Source organism: Homo sapiens, chromosome X, assembly GCF_000001405.40.
Source record: "Homo sapiens chromosome X, GRCh38.p14 Primary Assembly".
Lineage (NCBI taxonomy): Eukaryota > Metazoa > Chordata > Mammalia > Primates > Hominidae > Homo > Homo sapiens.
The window spans coordinates 134,549,305-134,562,305 of record NC_000023.11 but is presented as its reverse complement, the minus strand read 5'-3'; the positions used below and the strand labels follow the sequence as shown (position 1 = coordinate 134,562,305).

At 44.2% G+C, this 13,001-nt stretch overlaps 1 long non-coding RNA gene across 1 annotated transcript, besides 4 other annotated features; it reads right to left on the bottom strand.

The window, feature by feature from the left end:
• Positions 1–1,907: 1,907 nt before the first annotated feature.
• LINC00629 (long intergenic non-protein coding RNA 629) lies at positions 1,908–12,282 on the bottom strand. Its single transcript, NR_038998.1, has 3 exons — positions 12,081–12,282; positions 3,809–3,926; positions 1,908–2,920 (listed from the first exon to the last, which is right to left on the bottom strand). It is a non-coding gene; the product is annotated as a long intergenic non-protein coding RNA 629 (long non-coding RNA).
• Positions 10,989–11,617: an enhancer, noted in NCBI's record as "H3K4me1 hESC enhancer chrX:133684719-133685347 (GRCh37/hg19 assembly coordinates)". NCBI's record gives its function as "activates a minimal SCP1, AML or CMV promoter by ChIP-STARR-seq in naive H9 embryonic stem cells {active_cell/tissue: H9 hESC(naive)}" and the evidence as "EXISTENCE:reporter gene assay evidence [ECO:0000049][PMID:30033119]".
• Positions 11,618–12,247: an enhancer, noted in NCBI's record as "H3K4me1 hESC enhancer chrX:133684089-133684718 (GRCh37/hg19 assembly coordinates)". NCBI's record gives its function as "activates a minimal SCP1, AML or CMV promoter by ChIP-STARR-seq in primed H9 embryonic stem cells {active_cell/tissue: H9 hESC(primed)}" and the evidence as "EXISTENCE:reporter gene assay evidence [ECO:0000049][PMID:30033119]".
• Positions 12,492–12,771: a silencer, noted in NCBI's record as "silent region_21012". NCBI's record gives its function as "represses an Ori minimal core promoter by ATAC-STARR-seq in GM12878 lymphoblastoid cells {active_cell/tissue: GM12878}" and the evidence as "EXISTENCE:reporter gene assay evidence [ECO:0000049][PMID:35858748]".
• Positions 12,782–12,831: a silencer, noted in NCBI's record as "silent region_21011". NCBI's record gives its function as "represses an Ori minimal core promoter by ATAC-STARR-seq in GM12878 lymphoblastoid cells {active_cell/tissue: GM12878}" and the evidence as "EXISTENCE:reporter gene assay evidence [ECO:0000049][PMID:35858748]".

Genomic DNA, 13,001 nt, shown 5'->3' with positions numbered 1-13,001 from the left:
TTTTTCATAGTCAATCCTCATGGCATTGTTAGGAAAAGGACAGGAGAAGAACAGTCATCAAAATAGATAGAAGAGAAGTGATCAGAGATACGGAAGAAATATGACTCATGAAATTCTAGGGAGGAAAGTTGGGTAGACTATAGCCTCTAGTACAACAGATAAGCCAAGAGGGAGTAAGCACAGGCTTCACAGAATTGGGAGCCTTTGAATTGGACCTGAAGTGAGAGGTAGAATTGAATCAGGTGAAGATGTAGGAGGAGGGCATCCTAGGCAAAGGAAGCAGTAAGAACAAAGATGCAGGCCAGGCATGGTGGCTCATGCCTGTAATCCCAGCACTTTGGGAGGCCGAGGCGGGAAGATCACTTGAGCTCAGGAGTTCAAGACCAGCCTGTATGTTTACATTTTTGTACCAAAAATACGGGAAAAAAAAAAATCAGCCGAGCGTGGTGGTGCATTGCATGCCTGTAGTCCCAGATACTTGGGAGGCTGAGGTGGGAGGATTTCTTGAGCCCAGGAGGTGGAGGTTGCAGTGAGCCAAGATTGTGCCACTGCACTTCAACCTGGGTGACACAGAGAGACCCCGTCTCAAGAAAAAAAAAAAAAGATGCGAAGAAACATTGTGGTCAAGGATCATATTTTGCATGGGTTAATGTCTCAGGATAATTAGGCATAATTTTTCAAAATTCAATAGTAATCTGCACTTGTTGGCTTGGCATATCATTACTCAGAAAAAAGTGTTCTTCAAACATTTCAGGTGCATGTTTGATCTTCTCAATTCGATTGTGTATGTCTTGAGTGGGGCAGGGTGGGGGCTGTTTCCTGTTTGTTTTGCCTTGCTTTTTTTTTTTTTTTTTTTGTCTGTCACCCAGGCTAGAGTGCAGTGGCACGATCTCGGCTCACTGCAGCCTCCGCCTCGCGGGTTCAAGTGATTCTCCTGCCTTAGCCTCCCGAGTAGCTGGAACTACAAGCGCATGCCACCATGCCCAGCTAATTTTTTGTATTTTTAGTAGAGACGGGGTTTCACTGTGTTAGCCAGGATGGTCTCAATCTCCTGACTTCGTGATCCACCTGCCTTGGCCTCCCAAAGTGCTGGGATTACAGGCGTGAGCCACCACACCCAGCCTGTTTGTTTGCTTTGCCTTGCTTTTCCATTACTTGGTGAAGGTACCCAATAGATGGTCAATCCAGGTGACTGACTGACTGACTGGTAATGAGAAAGGGCGTGGGAGTCCATAAGCTAAAGGAACCATTCTAAAGATGGGAAGATAACACCTTGTGAAAAAACTGCATTTCAAATTGACTAATTCATTTGCCTTTTGAAATGCCACTTCAAAAGAGTGTTTTTCTCCTTTATTGTGGTAATGTTCTTTAATTTTTAAGATGACATGATTTATAAAAATCCATAACAGTGTTAGTCATATTTGTGATAATAAGATGAAATGCTTCATTGCGAACAAAAGAAATGAACATTTTCACCTTTCAATCTCTGGGAAAGCCAAAAATGTCTGAAACCGTTTGTTATGATAATTGCTTGTCAAATATTTAAAACTTAGGGCCATAGCGAGATTTTTGACCCATAAAAGGAAACTCAAAGTAACGTTTAAATTTTTATTCTTGTAGCCTGAAAGTAGCCAACCAGGTTTTTTAGAAAACTGTGTAAACTATATGTAAATGTTAAGGGCAAAAAGTCTTTTCTCACTACTTTGAACCTATAGCCCACTTTGGAGATGCACAGAAAGACACCCGTCCCTCCTTCACCAGTAACGAAGGCTTAGTCAAGCATTAAATTAAGCACACACACACACACACACGTTTATAAGAAATACATTATCAGATCCTGTCATTTGCAACAACATAGAGGGAACTAGAGGTCATTATGTTAAGTGAAATAAGTCAGGCACAGAAAGGCAAACATTACATGTTCTCATTTATTTGTGGGAGCTAAAAATCAAAACAATGGAGCTCATGGAGCTAGAGAGTAGAAGGATGGTTACCAGAGGCCGGGAAGGGTAGTGGGGTGGGTGGTGGGAGGGAACCGGGGATGGGGATGATAAATAGGTACAAAAAAATAGTTAAATGAATGAATAAGACCTAATATTTGATAGCACAACAGGGTGACTATAGCCAATAATAATTTAATTGTACATTTTTAAATAACAAAAAGAGTGTAACTGGATTGTTTGTAACACAAAGGATAAATGCTTGAGGGGATGGATACGCCATCTTCCATGATGTGATTATTACACGTCATGCCTGTATCAAAACATCTCATGTACCACATAAATATATACACCTACTACAACCCACATTTTTTTTTTAATTTTATGAAAAAGAAATACATTATCAAGGGACGAGTGTTTATTTAAAAAAAAAAAGCTGACTTTCACAAAAACGTTCTTTAATTCTAATTAGTGTTAATCCCTATGATGGAGCTCTACAATATCCTGTTTAAATTGTAATTATATTTGAGAATAAAACAATAGGTTTAGAAATTGTAATTATACTTGTTTATTCCCCACAAAAGAAAGAGAGAGAGTGACTTGCAGTCTTGTGATTTTTCTATAACTTTTTCAGGAGAAAACAAATGAGGTCAGATATCCGCTTATAAACTCACGTTGGTTATACAATTACAAGCCTTCTGTATTCGTTATCTATTGCTGAATAACGGATTACCCCCAAAACAACAAACCTTCATTGTGTCACAGGTTTTACGGGTCAGGAAACTGTGTATGACTTAACTGAGTGCCTCTGGCTCAGGGTCTCTCGTAAGTTGCAGTCAAGCTAGTGGCTGCCACTGTGGACATCTCAAGTCTTAACTGGAGTTTGGAGAATCCACTCCCATGCTCACTCAAGTGGCTGATGGCAGGAGACCTCAGTTCCTCTCCTGTAGCTTTCTCCAAGTGTCCTCATAACATGGCAGCTGATAGAGAGAAGGGGAAGGGGATGACAAAAGGCCCAAGTTAGAAGCCACAGAAGTGACATCCCATGGCTTCTGCCATATTCTACTTGTTAGAAGAGTCTCTAGGTCCAGCGCACGTACTAGGAGGGATTACAGAACAGTGGGAACACCAGAAGGCAGGGATCAGTGGGGACCAGCATAGAGGCTGCCTACCACCCCTTCAATCTTACCACACTGGCAAACTCCACAAATGCAACGTTCTTCAGTTTATGTGTGTAAATACAACTGATGTCAAAACACAGACTGGGTGGAAAAGGACATGCTATGCCACTGCTGTTTCCTTGTGTCCATCAGTTATATTTTCCCTCTTCAAGGAAAACAAGTTACAGGACTTGACTGGTGAAAATAATTCCATAGGAAGCTTTTATTTATTTTTATAACAGGAGATTGATGAAGACAGTTAAAGCCAAAGGAAAAAAGCATAAGATGTAAATAAAATAATAGCAATGATGATACTGAGTAGAGGCGCTAACGTTGGTTCTAATTATGTTCCCCACATTAGCAGTAATATGAAATCTTTCAACAATCCTCTAATGTAATGTAATTCTGATGAGGCCAACGATACTCTAAAGTTTTTCAAAGTGGGGTGAGGAGGTGGGGGATCCAGGTAATGTGTGTCTGTGTGTGTGTGCATGCATGTATATATGTACGCATATATATTATGTATATTTATATTTATTATTATCCAGCATCCAAGGACAAGAGGCAGGGGACTTTGCTTATTGACTTGCATATGAGTAAGTCATATAGTACACTAAACTCCCCACCACTTGCTACTTCCATTTTTCTTTGTTCTTATCCAATTCACAACCATCTGGCATGGCCAGTGGTGAGGTTCCTGTGGCTTACCTGAAGGGCAATGCATGAAATCAAAGTAGCTCCCAGCATTATGAAACACCAGTAGCGGAGAGGGGCTCACTTGGCCTGGGCAGGTGGTGGGATTGCAGGAGGGTGCATAAACAGGTTTCTGAAAGGGAAGTGACAGGTTTGCCCTTTGCTATGTAGCTTTGTCAGCATTTATTGCTAGATGTTCTCTGACAGGTAAGGGGGAATTGGTCTGAGTCCGAGAAGTAAACGCTAATACCAGTTTTCAAATATAAGGGAACATGAAAGAATCCTTGCCACCTGGGAACATGAAAAAAATTTCCTGCCAGCAAATGTACCATTCGAAGGCACTTTTATTTTACAGTTACTAGGAAGAATATTTAAATTGCTCAGGTTATTTTCAATGTTGTTTTGGCTTTGTCGTACACACCCTATTATGTAAACACTATACGAATGTAAATTATTCACCTTTTAAAGTTACTTTAAAAGTTTTGACTCTTCGCCAAATATATTTCTTTCTATCAAGAGCTCTTTAAAGCTCTGTCTGCGACTTAAATAAGCACACATCTTTAAAATAAAAGCTCGTTTTCCAAGTAATGCCTACAGAATATTTATTCTATTTTTGAAGCTGTATTTACATAACAAAGCACTAAAGGAAGCCCAGTGTAGGGAGAGAATCGAGTCCTAAAGCAACAGTGAGACTGGTTTCTATGGAGTTAGAGAAATTCTAGCTGTCTCCACTGCCAAGGGTGGGTCAGGACAGGAACAAATTGACCCAAAAGTAAGCCTCAATGTCATTCCTACAGCAACTCCCTGTGATAATTTACAGTCTGCAATCAAAATAAAATAATCTCTTCAAAAATCTCGTTCTTTTATGGTTCATTCTACAAATTGATTCTCATTTTCATTTCATATTTCATCGATTTAACTTTCTTTCGCTTCACCCAGGTAAAGAAATCACATGCCTCGAATGATAGATGCACCTAAACTCTAAATATGTTTTGGTATTTGAGTTACAGCAAGTACAGGGAATATCTAAGTTGCCCAAGTTACTTTCAATGTTGTTTTAACTTTGTGAAAATATTTAATGACAATTTTTAAAAACTGCGCATGAAAAAGAACATTCTCCAGTTTGAAGCTCTGCCACTACCAAAAAACAAAAACAAAAACGAAAACCACAGTCTCAATCCAGAAGGTGCGTACTATATTTTCACTCCTCTGTTCCATCAAATCAGCACACAATAGTAAGTTTCTGTCTTTCAGTTAATTTTTAACCCGATATTTACTGGTATTTCATAGCATGCTTTGTATGAGTAATTTAACAAAAAATTGATTACTTTAAAGGTCAATTAAAATCAAGTCCTAGTTGGGATTTCTGGTGTGTGCAAGTGCAAGTGTGTGAGAGAGGGAGGGAGGGAAGGGGGAGAGAGGGAGGGAATACCTGGGGTGGGGGAAGAATCCAGTACATCTCCTGATACATAATAGGTATATGATAAATAGTATTTTTCCACTCTTTATCTTCTCAAATAAGAAAGTTCACTCCAGTGTGGCATGGAGAATGGGATATTCTAATTATTCAAATAGTCCTAGGTTTACCATAGTTTGTAGTTCATAGGGTTATACCATATAAGCCAGGTGAATCTGTTAAAAAACACGGCTTTCATTACATCACGCCCCTGCCCCTTTAAAAGCATCACACCAAAAAAAAAAAAAAAAAAAAAAAGGTTCTATACCATCCTGCAACTAAAGTCACAACTCCTCTGCCTACTTCCAGACCCCCCATAATGTTTTTTGTTTTTTTTTTGAGACAGAGTCTCAGTCTGTCGCCCAGGCTAGAGCGCAGTGATGCAATCTCGGCTCACTGCAACCTCTGCTACCCGGGTTCAAACAGTTCTCCTGTCTCAGCCTCCTGAGTAGCTGGGATTACAGGCGCCTGCCACCATACTCGGCTAATTTTTGTATTTTTAGTACAGACGGGGTTTCATCATCTTGGTCAGGATGGTCTTGAACTCCTGACCTCGTGATCCACCTGCCTTGGCCTCCCAAAGTGCTGGGATTACAGGCGTGAGTCACCATGCCCAGCCTCTTTTTTTTTTTTTTTTTTTTTTTTTTTTTTTTTTTTTTTTTTTTTTTTTTTGAGACAGTCTCAGTCACCCAGGCTGGAGTGCAGTGGCACGATCTCCACTCACTGCAACCTCTGCCCCCTGGGTTTAAGCTACTCTCCATTCTCCTGCCTCAGCCTCCCGAGTAGCTGGGATTACAGGCACACGCCACCATGCCCGGCTAGTTTTTGTATTTTTTAGTAGAGATGGGTTTTCACCATGTTGGCCAGGCTGGTCTTGAACTCTTGGCCTCAAGCAATCCACCCGTCTCGGCCTCCCAAAGTGCTGGGATTACAGGCGTGAGCCACCGCGCCTGCCTCCCCACCCCCCAATAATCTGACATCACCCTACTTGTCCAGCCCAGTCTCTAATTCCCCAGTAGAAAGGCTCTGTCCAACTAGGTCCATCTCCTTTCAGTTCTTCTCTGCCTCCTGGCCTCTGAAAATGCTGTTTTGCCCATTCCATCCAAATTCCACCTTCCCTTCAAGGATCAGCTTGAAGCTTAAAAGTATAAAATGATGGTGATAGATTTTCAGGAGAGAGTTTATAGTACTGAGCAGCTAATTTAAAAGCAAATTAATTCTATATTATTCCAGAGGATGTGTTCCAAGTGTCAGTCCCAGATGGATGTTTGTGAAGCCAACATGTTAGATATGAGCTCAACAACCCTTGGTCAGCACCAAGAACACCAAATGGTGCCTAAGCCAACTCTTGAGGATGTTAGCCATCATCTTTACCGCCAGCACAGCACCTTGTTCTCACTTCTTCCGGTTCCTTTTTTCCCTTCTCAGGTATACGTTCAGTTAACAAATATGTATTGGATTTCTTTCTAACTTGGCTGGGCACAGTGGCTCATGCCTGTAATTCCAGCACTTTGGGAGGCCAAGGCAGGTGAATCACTTGAGGTCAGGAGTTTGAGACCAGCCTGGTCAACATGGTGAAACCCCGTTTCTACTAAAAATACAAAAATTAGCCGAGTGTGATGGTGCGTGCCTGTAATCACAGCTATTTGGGAGGCATGATAATTGCTTGAACCTGGGAGGCGGAGTTTGTAGTGAGCCGAGATGGCACCACTGTACTCCAGGCTGGGCGACAGAGTGAGATTCTATCTCAAAAAACAAACAAAAAAAACAAAACAAAAAAACAAATATGTATTGGACATCAACGGATGCAAATTATTGTGCAAAGCGCTGAGAAGATACCTATAGACAGACATGTCCCTACCCTCTAGGAGCTTACTGTCTGCTAGGAAGAGAATTTCAGAACAACTAAGTTAATTAAAGTGCCGTGACAGGACAGGACAGAGGCAGTTAACTCCAACTCTGAGGCCATCTGAGAAGGCTTCAAGGAAGAGGTGGCATTTGAGCTGGGCCTAAGAAGGATGCGGAAATGGGAGGAACAGGGGTATCCAGCATAAACACATAAAGAAGGTGTGGCTGGAGGGTAGGAGATGCAAGCAGAAGCGCAGATTGGAGCCAGATTGTAGAATGCCCTGAATGCCACATTAAGGAGTTAAGCTTTTTAGTCATCTGCCTTTTGTGCCGAGGATTAATATGACCAGAATTGTGTTTTCCCAGCAGAACTCCGTGGACCACTGGGAGAGGAGCAGAACTCAACTGAGAGATCAGTGGGGGGCCTGAGAAGGTCACCTTGATGACATCATGGTGGCAAGTGGAGACTCTGAACTTGAGGACAGATAGTAGGGACAGAGGAGAAGGACTTGTTTTTTTTTTTCTCTTCTTTCATCTTCTTTCTTTCTGTCTTCTGCCCTGGCCCTTGCTCTCCACCCTACTCTCATTTTCACTCTTCCCTGCCTATGGCGTAGGCATTCCTGGGGACTCTGGACTAAAGAAGCTGTCAAGCCCTGGGTTTAGGAGAAATGCTAAAATTAAAAACAGGATCTGGATTTCTACTTCCTCTTCTACACGGAGGGCTGGGACTTACTCTGGTCATGAACTGCAAAATCCCACCCGATCGTAAGCCCAAGAATAATTTTAAGAAACAGGAAGCAAAAGAAATGACATTATCCATCAGTCCTAGACACTCTATCGCTGTTTTTTTTGTTTGTTTGTTTGTTTGACAGAGTCGTGTCCAAGCTGGAGTGCAGTGGTGCGATCTCGGTTCACTACAACCTCCACCTCCCGGGTTCAAGCAATTCTCCTGCCTCAGCCTCCCGAGTAGCTGGGATTACAGTCATCCACCACCATGCCCGGCGAATTGACACTCTATCTCTTAAGTTTTATTTTTTAAAATGCAAACGGAGCTTCAGGGGAAAGAATGGCAACCACGAGTGAGTTCAGTTCTGGATGATGCCGTGTTACCATCTCTCATGTGAACATTTCAGATATGCACATTCACTTTCTCTCTGCTATTTCAACAATGTATTTCATGCTTTGGAAAACACTCCAGCTGCATCTTGGTTTTGAACAAGGATAGCATCCCTTAGCACTCTTCAATTTGTTGTTCCCTCCTATTCTTTCTACCCAGCAAGATATTATTTGCCCCGAGGAGTGTTTTCTTTTCACATAACAAGATCCCAAAAGCGATGTCATTCAGACATCACAAAGCAGAGCTCTGTGCTTTTTACAGGATATCCTTGGTGCTGATCACTTTTGGTTGGTGTTTTTGTTTGTTTGTTTCAATTTTTTTGATATCAATGAAGTGCCTTCCAAAGGCACTTCAGTTTCCCTCAACAAGATTGCATTTGACAGGTTGACACTGATATATTGGGGTTTTTCTTTTCTCTTTTTCGTAATTAGCTGAAGTTCGAGGAAAGTTCTAGAAGTGTGAGGTGAAACTGATTACCATAATTTTATGGTGAAAGCAAGTGACTAAATCTAGCCTAGTACTATACTTGAACCGCCATTATGGCCACCACACCTACAAGAGATGGGTTTTTGGTCTCCATGCTCCTGTCATTACATTTTGCTCTGTCAGTTCACGCTCTGTGCAAAGGACAGCAAGTCCTGCCCACTTACAGGTTGCACTATAGGGCCAGCACGGTGTAAAGAGACGCTGAGACTGTCCTACACCCCTTCATTCTCGCCCTCCTTAGCAAAAAGTTCCAATCATTGCCGTCATCTGAGACAATTTTTGATTTAATGGGCAAAAATCCAGGAATAATTAAGACAATAATAGTACACACCCAGAAAAAAAAAAAAAAAAGCCTGGTTTAAAGAAGAAATCCAGGCAGCACTGAAGGCAGTGATTCTGCGTCTTTGAGGAGGGAAAAGAGATCTAGAAATCAAAAGCAACAGCTACTAATGACTTACTAAGCTTCTCTTTGGCAGAAAGGAAAAATTTACTAATTCATTCTACTTTTTCCTGATGGGATCACGGGGGTAGGAGAAGTTAAGATTAGAGTTTTTCTCCCAAAGTTCTGAGTTTTGCAAATAACTATTTTTATAACTAATTTCATAAAATAAAAATTACCAAAGGACACTGTCTTTTTTGTTTAATCTGAGAGTAGGACAAGCATTCTTACATTATATATTATAGTATACAGTTACTACTCACTGCTAGCCACTGCTTGAACCATGAAAAAAAGCCTTTACAAAAAAACACAATAGAAGCTTCATAACACAATTCCAGTTGTTTTCTTTCTGTTAAATTTGTAACTCTATCCTGATTTTATCTCTCTAAAGACTTCTGGATATTTACAACATAAGGAAAATCTTGTTTCCCTAACTCAAGGCCTTCATTAAAAACACAATCTTAAACACCATTTCTAGTTAAAATAAAAATGGAAAGTTCTAGAAATCTTCTTTGTAATTTACAAAAAAATAAGTTTTAATGCAACTTGATTCTCCAGTATCTATTTCCCAAGATTCATTCACAGTTGCTTTCCAGAAAACATTTTCCAAAATTTATGCCAAATACCATGTTATGCATAACTTCCTTGCTGAGTATCTCTAGTCTAGAGCTAATTTATTTTTCTCAGCTGTGCCTTCAGAGCCTTCAAAGCTATTGCTCCCTCGGCGGACTATGATTATTCCTTATCAATATAATTTCCGAACGTTTCACGGAACAAAAAGAGAAAGGAAAATATGTGCTATTTTCCTGAAAACAGCTGCCTTGAAACAATATTTCAGAAGGGACCAAAAAAAACAATAGATGGTGTGCAATTTTCATTTCAGGTTCCTAGTTGCCCCGTGAGAAGTTGCCTGACTACCAGTTGGAGGCCCCCCTAACACCCCAGGTGGTGGGCTGTGCCTGTTTCCAATGCTAGGGTAAGTTTCTCACCACTTCTTAGGGCAATTTATATCCTGTGAGTTTTGTCAGGTTGGGAAGGGCCTACCAAATAAGAAGCCATTTGCAGAATCAGGGTTTGCTTCAAAGGTCCTAAGAAAATCCTTGAGACATCATAGTTGAAAAACATTTGAAGGTTGTTCACTTGAGTAAATGCTTAAGCTTGTCCTCCCTTACTTTCTCCGGCCTGTAGCAATATTACTCACCCTCAAAGAATTCATCAATATTCAACTGGCTCTCCAATTTGCTGAGGTAGCAAAAGGAGTTTAATAAAGAAAGCTGTTGCAATTTGTCTTTAGAGAACATGCCATAAACCCAACTTTTATCTTACGTCGTTGGAATCTTCTGCCCTTTTACTAATTTAGGTGGGGAAATGAATGCTTACGTGTAGCAACCCAAGCAAATTTACCCACGAAGGCAAGTCTTAAAAACTCAGCGAAGCCTTTCATCCCAAGGGCACCAGAGCTTTATAAATGATCTATCTGAGGATTTAGAAGCGTGTTCAGTCACGTCTCACAGCCCGGCAAACTTTCAGCCCTGTCCACGAGGGGTTTTGAAAATCTTAACAGGGAAACTTGTAGCTTAGTAATAAGACTTTTTAGCGCCCACCAAAACTGGACGAGTATCAGCCGTTTTAAAAACTTTTCCTGAAAAGAAAATCTTGCTATTTAAAACCTTTTTGGTTAACTTTTCAAAACAGCTTTGCAGACCCTGAAAGACACTACTCTTTTCCCTCCTCGCGCCCCGGAAAAGAGCCGCAGACGCCAGCGAAAGGCTGCGCAACGCTTGCAACGCCTTGGGTCTGCGAGATCGCCCTTGCAAAAACATTTCAGATTTTCCATCAGCTCTACAGAAATATGACAGTAAAATGCATGCGAGAGTTAAGTAGCTCAAACTCGGGCGCCGAGCACGGCAGATTCCGCGGTTTTATTTTTGTAAACTGATTTCGTGTGTGTGTGCGCGCGCGTGCGTTGCTGCTTTCTTTCGGCACCTAATTTTTTTTCCCCCAGCGCCCGCACGCGGTTCTGGGCTACCCTGCGCGCTGTCTGCAGGCCGCGACAACTACGGCCTCCCTCGGGGAATGCGGGGGAAGGCCGCGGGCCGCCGTGGCGACGGCTGCAGGCGCGCGGCTCAGTTCCCGCGGCCCGCCGGTTTCTTTGCTCATCCGTGGTGCAGCCGAGCCCACCGAGTCTGGTCGGACCAGGGGTTGCTGAGAGCCGCCAGGAAGTCCCCACCCCGCACCGCCCCCGGGGCCAACGCGCTCGGCTGCTCCTCCGCATAGTTTTGCGCCCGGCAGCCTATCTGCCCCGAGGCTCCGATGGCCCCTCCTGGCCTGCCCAGGGCTATGGCAGCTGCAGGCCGGCTCTACCCATTGCTCTTCCCGTCCAGACCCCGCTGGCCTTGAGCCCTGCTTGCTCGCAGATTTGTCCCACCCGGGACAGGGAAAGGAAAAGAAGCCGCGTTCATTTTCTTAGCATTCAGGCACTATTTTATAAGGGAACTCTTCCAAAATTTTCATTATGGCATTTTGCAAATATTTAGGCAAGTTGAAAGAACGGTACAACGAACGTCTGTTTACCCCCCACCCCCAACAGGATGCAACAACTGTTAACATATTGCAATACTTGCTTCCTTTCTGTTCTCTCTCTCATAATGTGTGCGTATGTTAGCTGCATCATTTGAAAACTGCAGACATCGTGACATTTCACTTCTGTACACTTCAGCATGCATCTTCAAGGATAAGGACCTCCTTACCTTCAATATCATTCTCACAAATACAAAATAGCATGGTCCTTAATAGCGTCTAACATCCAGGATAAGGGCTCCTTTCCCTCCCGTTTCCCCACTTCAGTCTTAAATATCAGTTTCCCTTCTTGTACTGGGCACATGTGTAAACAATTGCTCCTCCCTCTGTGTTATGCCCACCAAAGGACTATGGGGCTCACCCTGTCCCGGGGCCTCTCTACCTGAGAGCTTGGTGGGGTGGCGAGGGCTGGGGCGTCTCGACAGATCTGCACTCAAACGCATGGGGAGAGCGCTGCACCCAAGCGGTCTGAGACCCCCTGTTTCCTTTCCCAAACCATCTCAGGTACTCCCTGTAAGCACCGAGCAAAAAGCTTCGCTCAGCCACCTTGCGCCGTCCCGGCAGCTCAAAGGACACCGCCAGAGGACCCGTGAGCGTGGGGTGGTGTCCGTCCCAGGAGCCTCTGGGTGCGCGCTGCGCTACCTCGTGCCCTTGGCTTTGCCGTTTGCCATCCTCCGTTTTTTCTCCCCGAGCCCTCGCTATTCGTCTCGGTGTTGGTTACTCTGGGCGCCCAGTGCCCTTCTCGGCCCTCCCCCGCAGCGGGCCAAGGCTGCGGCGTCGAGCGCCTGCACAACCCCCTTCCCTACAGCTCCTCTCCTCCCCTCCCCCCTTCCGCCCCCGGGCCCCGGAGCCGAGCGGGGCCACCGGGGGGCGGGGAGCGCCACAGCGCGTGGCCACGCCCCCCGAGCCGGCTTTTTCTAGGGCGGCTCCGGGAGCCTCTCCGCCGGCTGCGCCGCTCGCCTCCAAGGGAGCGTTCCGTGCTGGCCCCTCGCTCGGCTCCGCTCCGCCTCCGCCACGCCGCTCTCCGAGCTTCGGCAGCAGCCAGCGCCCCCTCCACGCTGCGACCCCGGCTCTCGGCTCTCCGTCCCTGTAGCTCCGTGCCCAGCACCTCGCGCCCCGCAACCTCGCCGTCTCCCAAGTCCCGGGCCCCGCTTCTGTCGCTGTCCGTCGCTGTCCGTGTGTCGCTCGCTCGGTCTGTCTCTCCGCCTCCCCAGCCCTTCCTTCCTCCCTGTCTCCCTCGCTGGCTTGCACGTTCGCTCGCTCTCGGACGCGGCGAAACAGC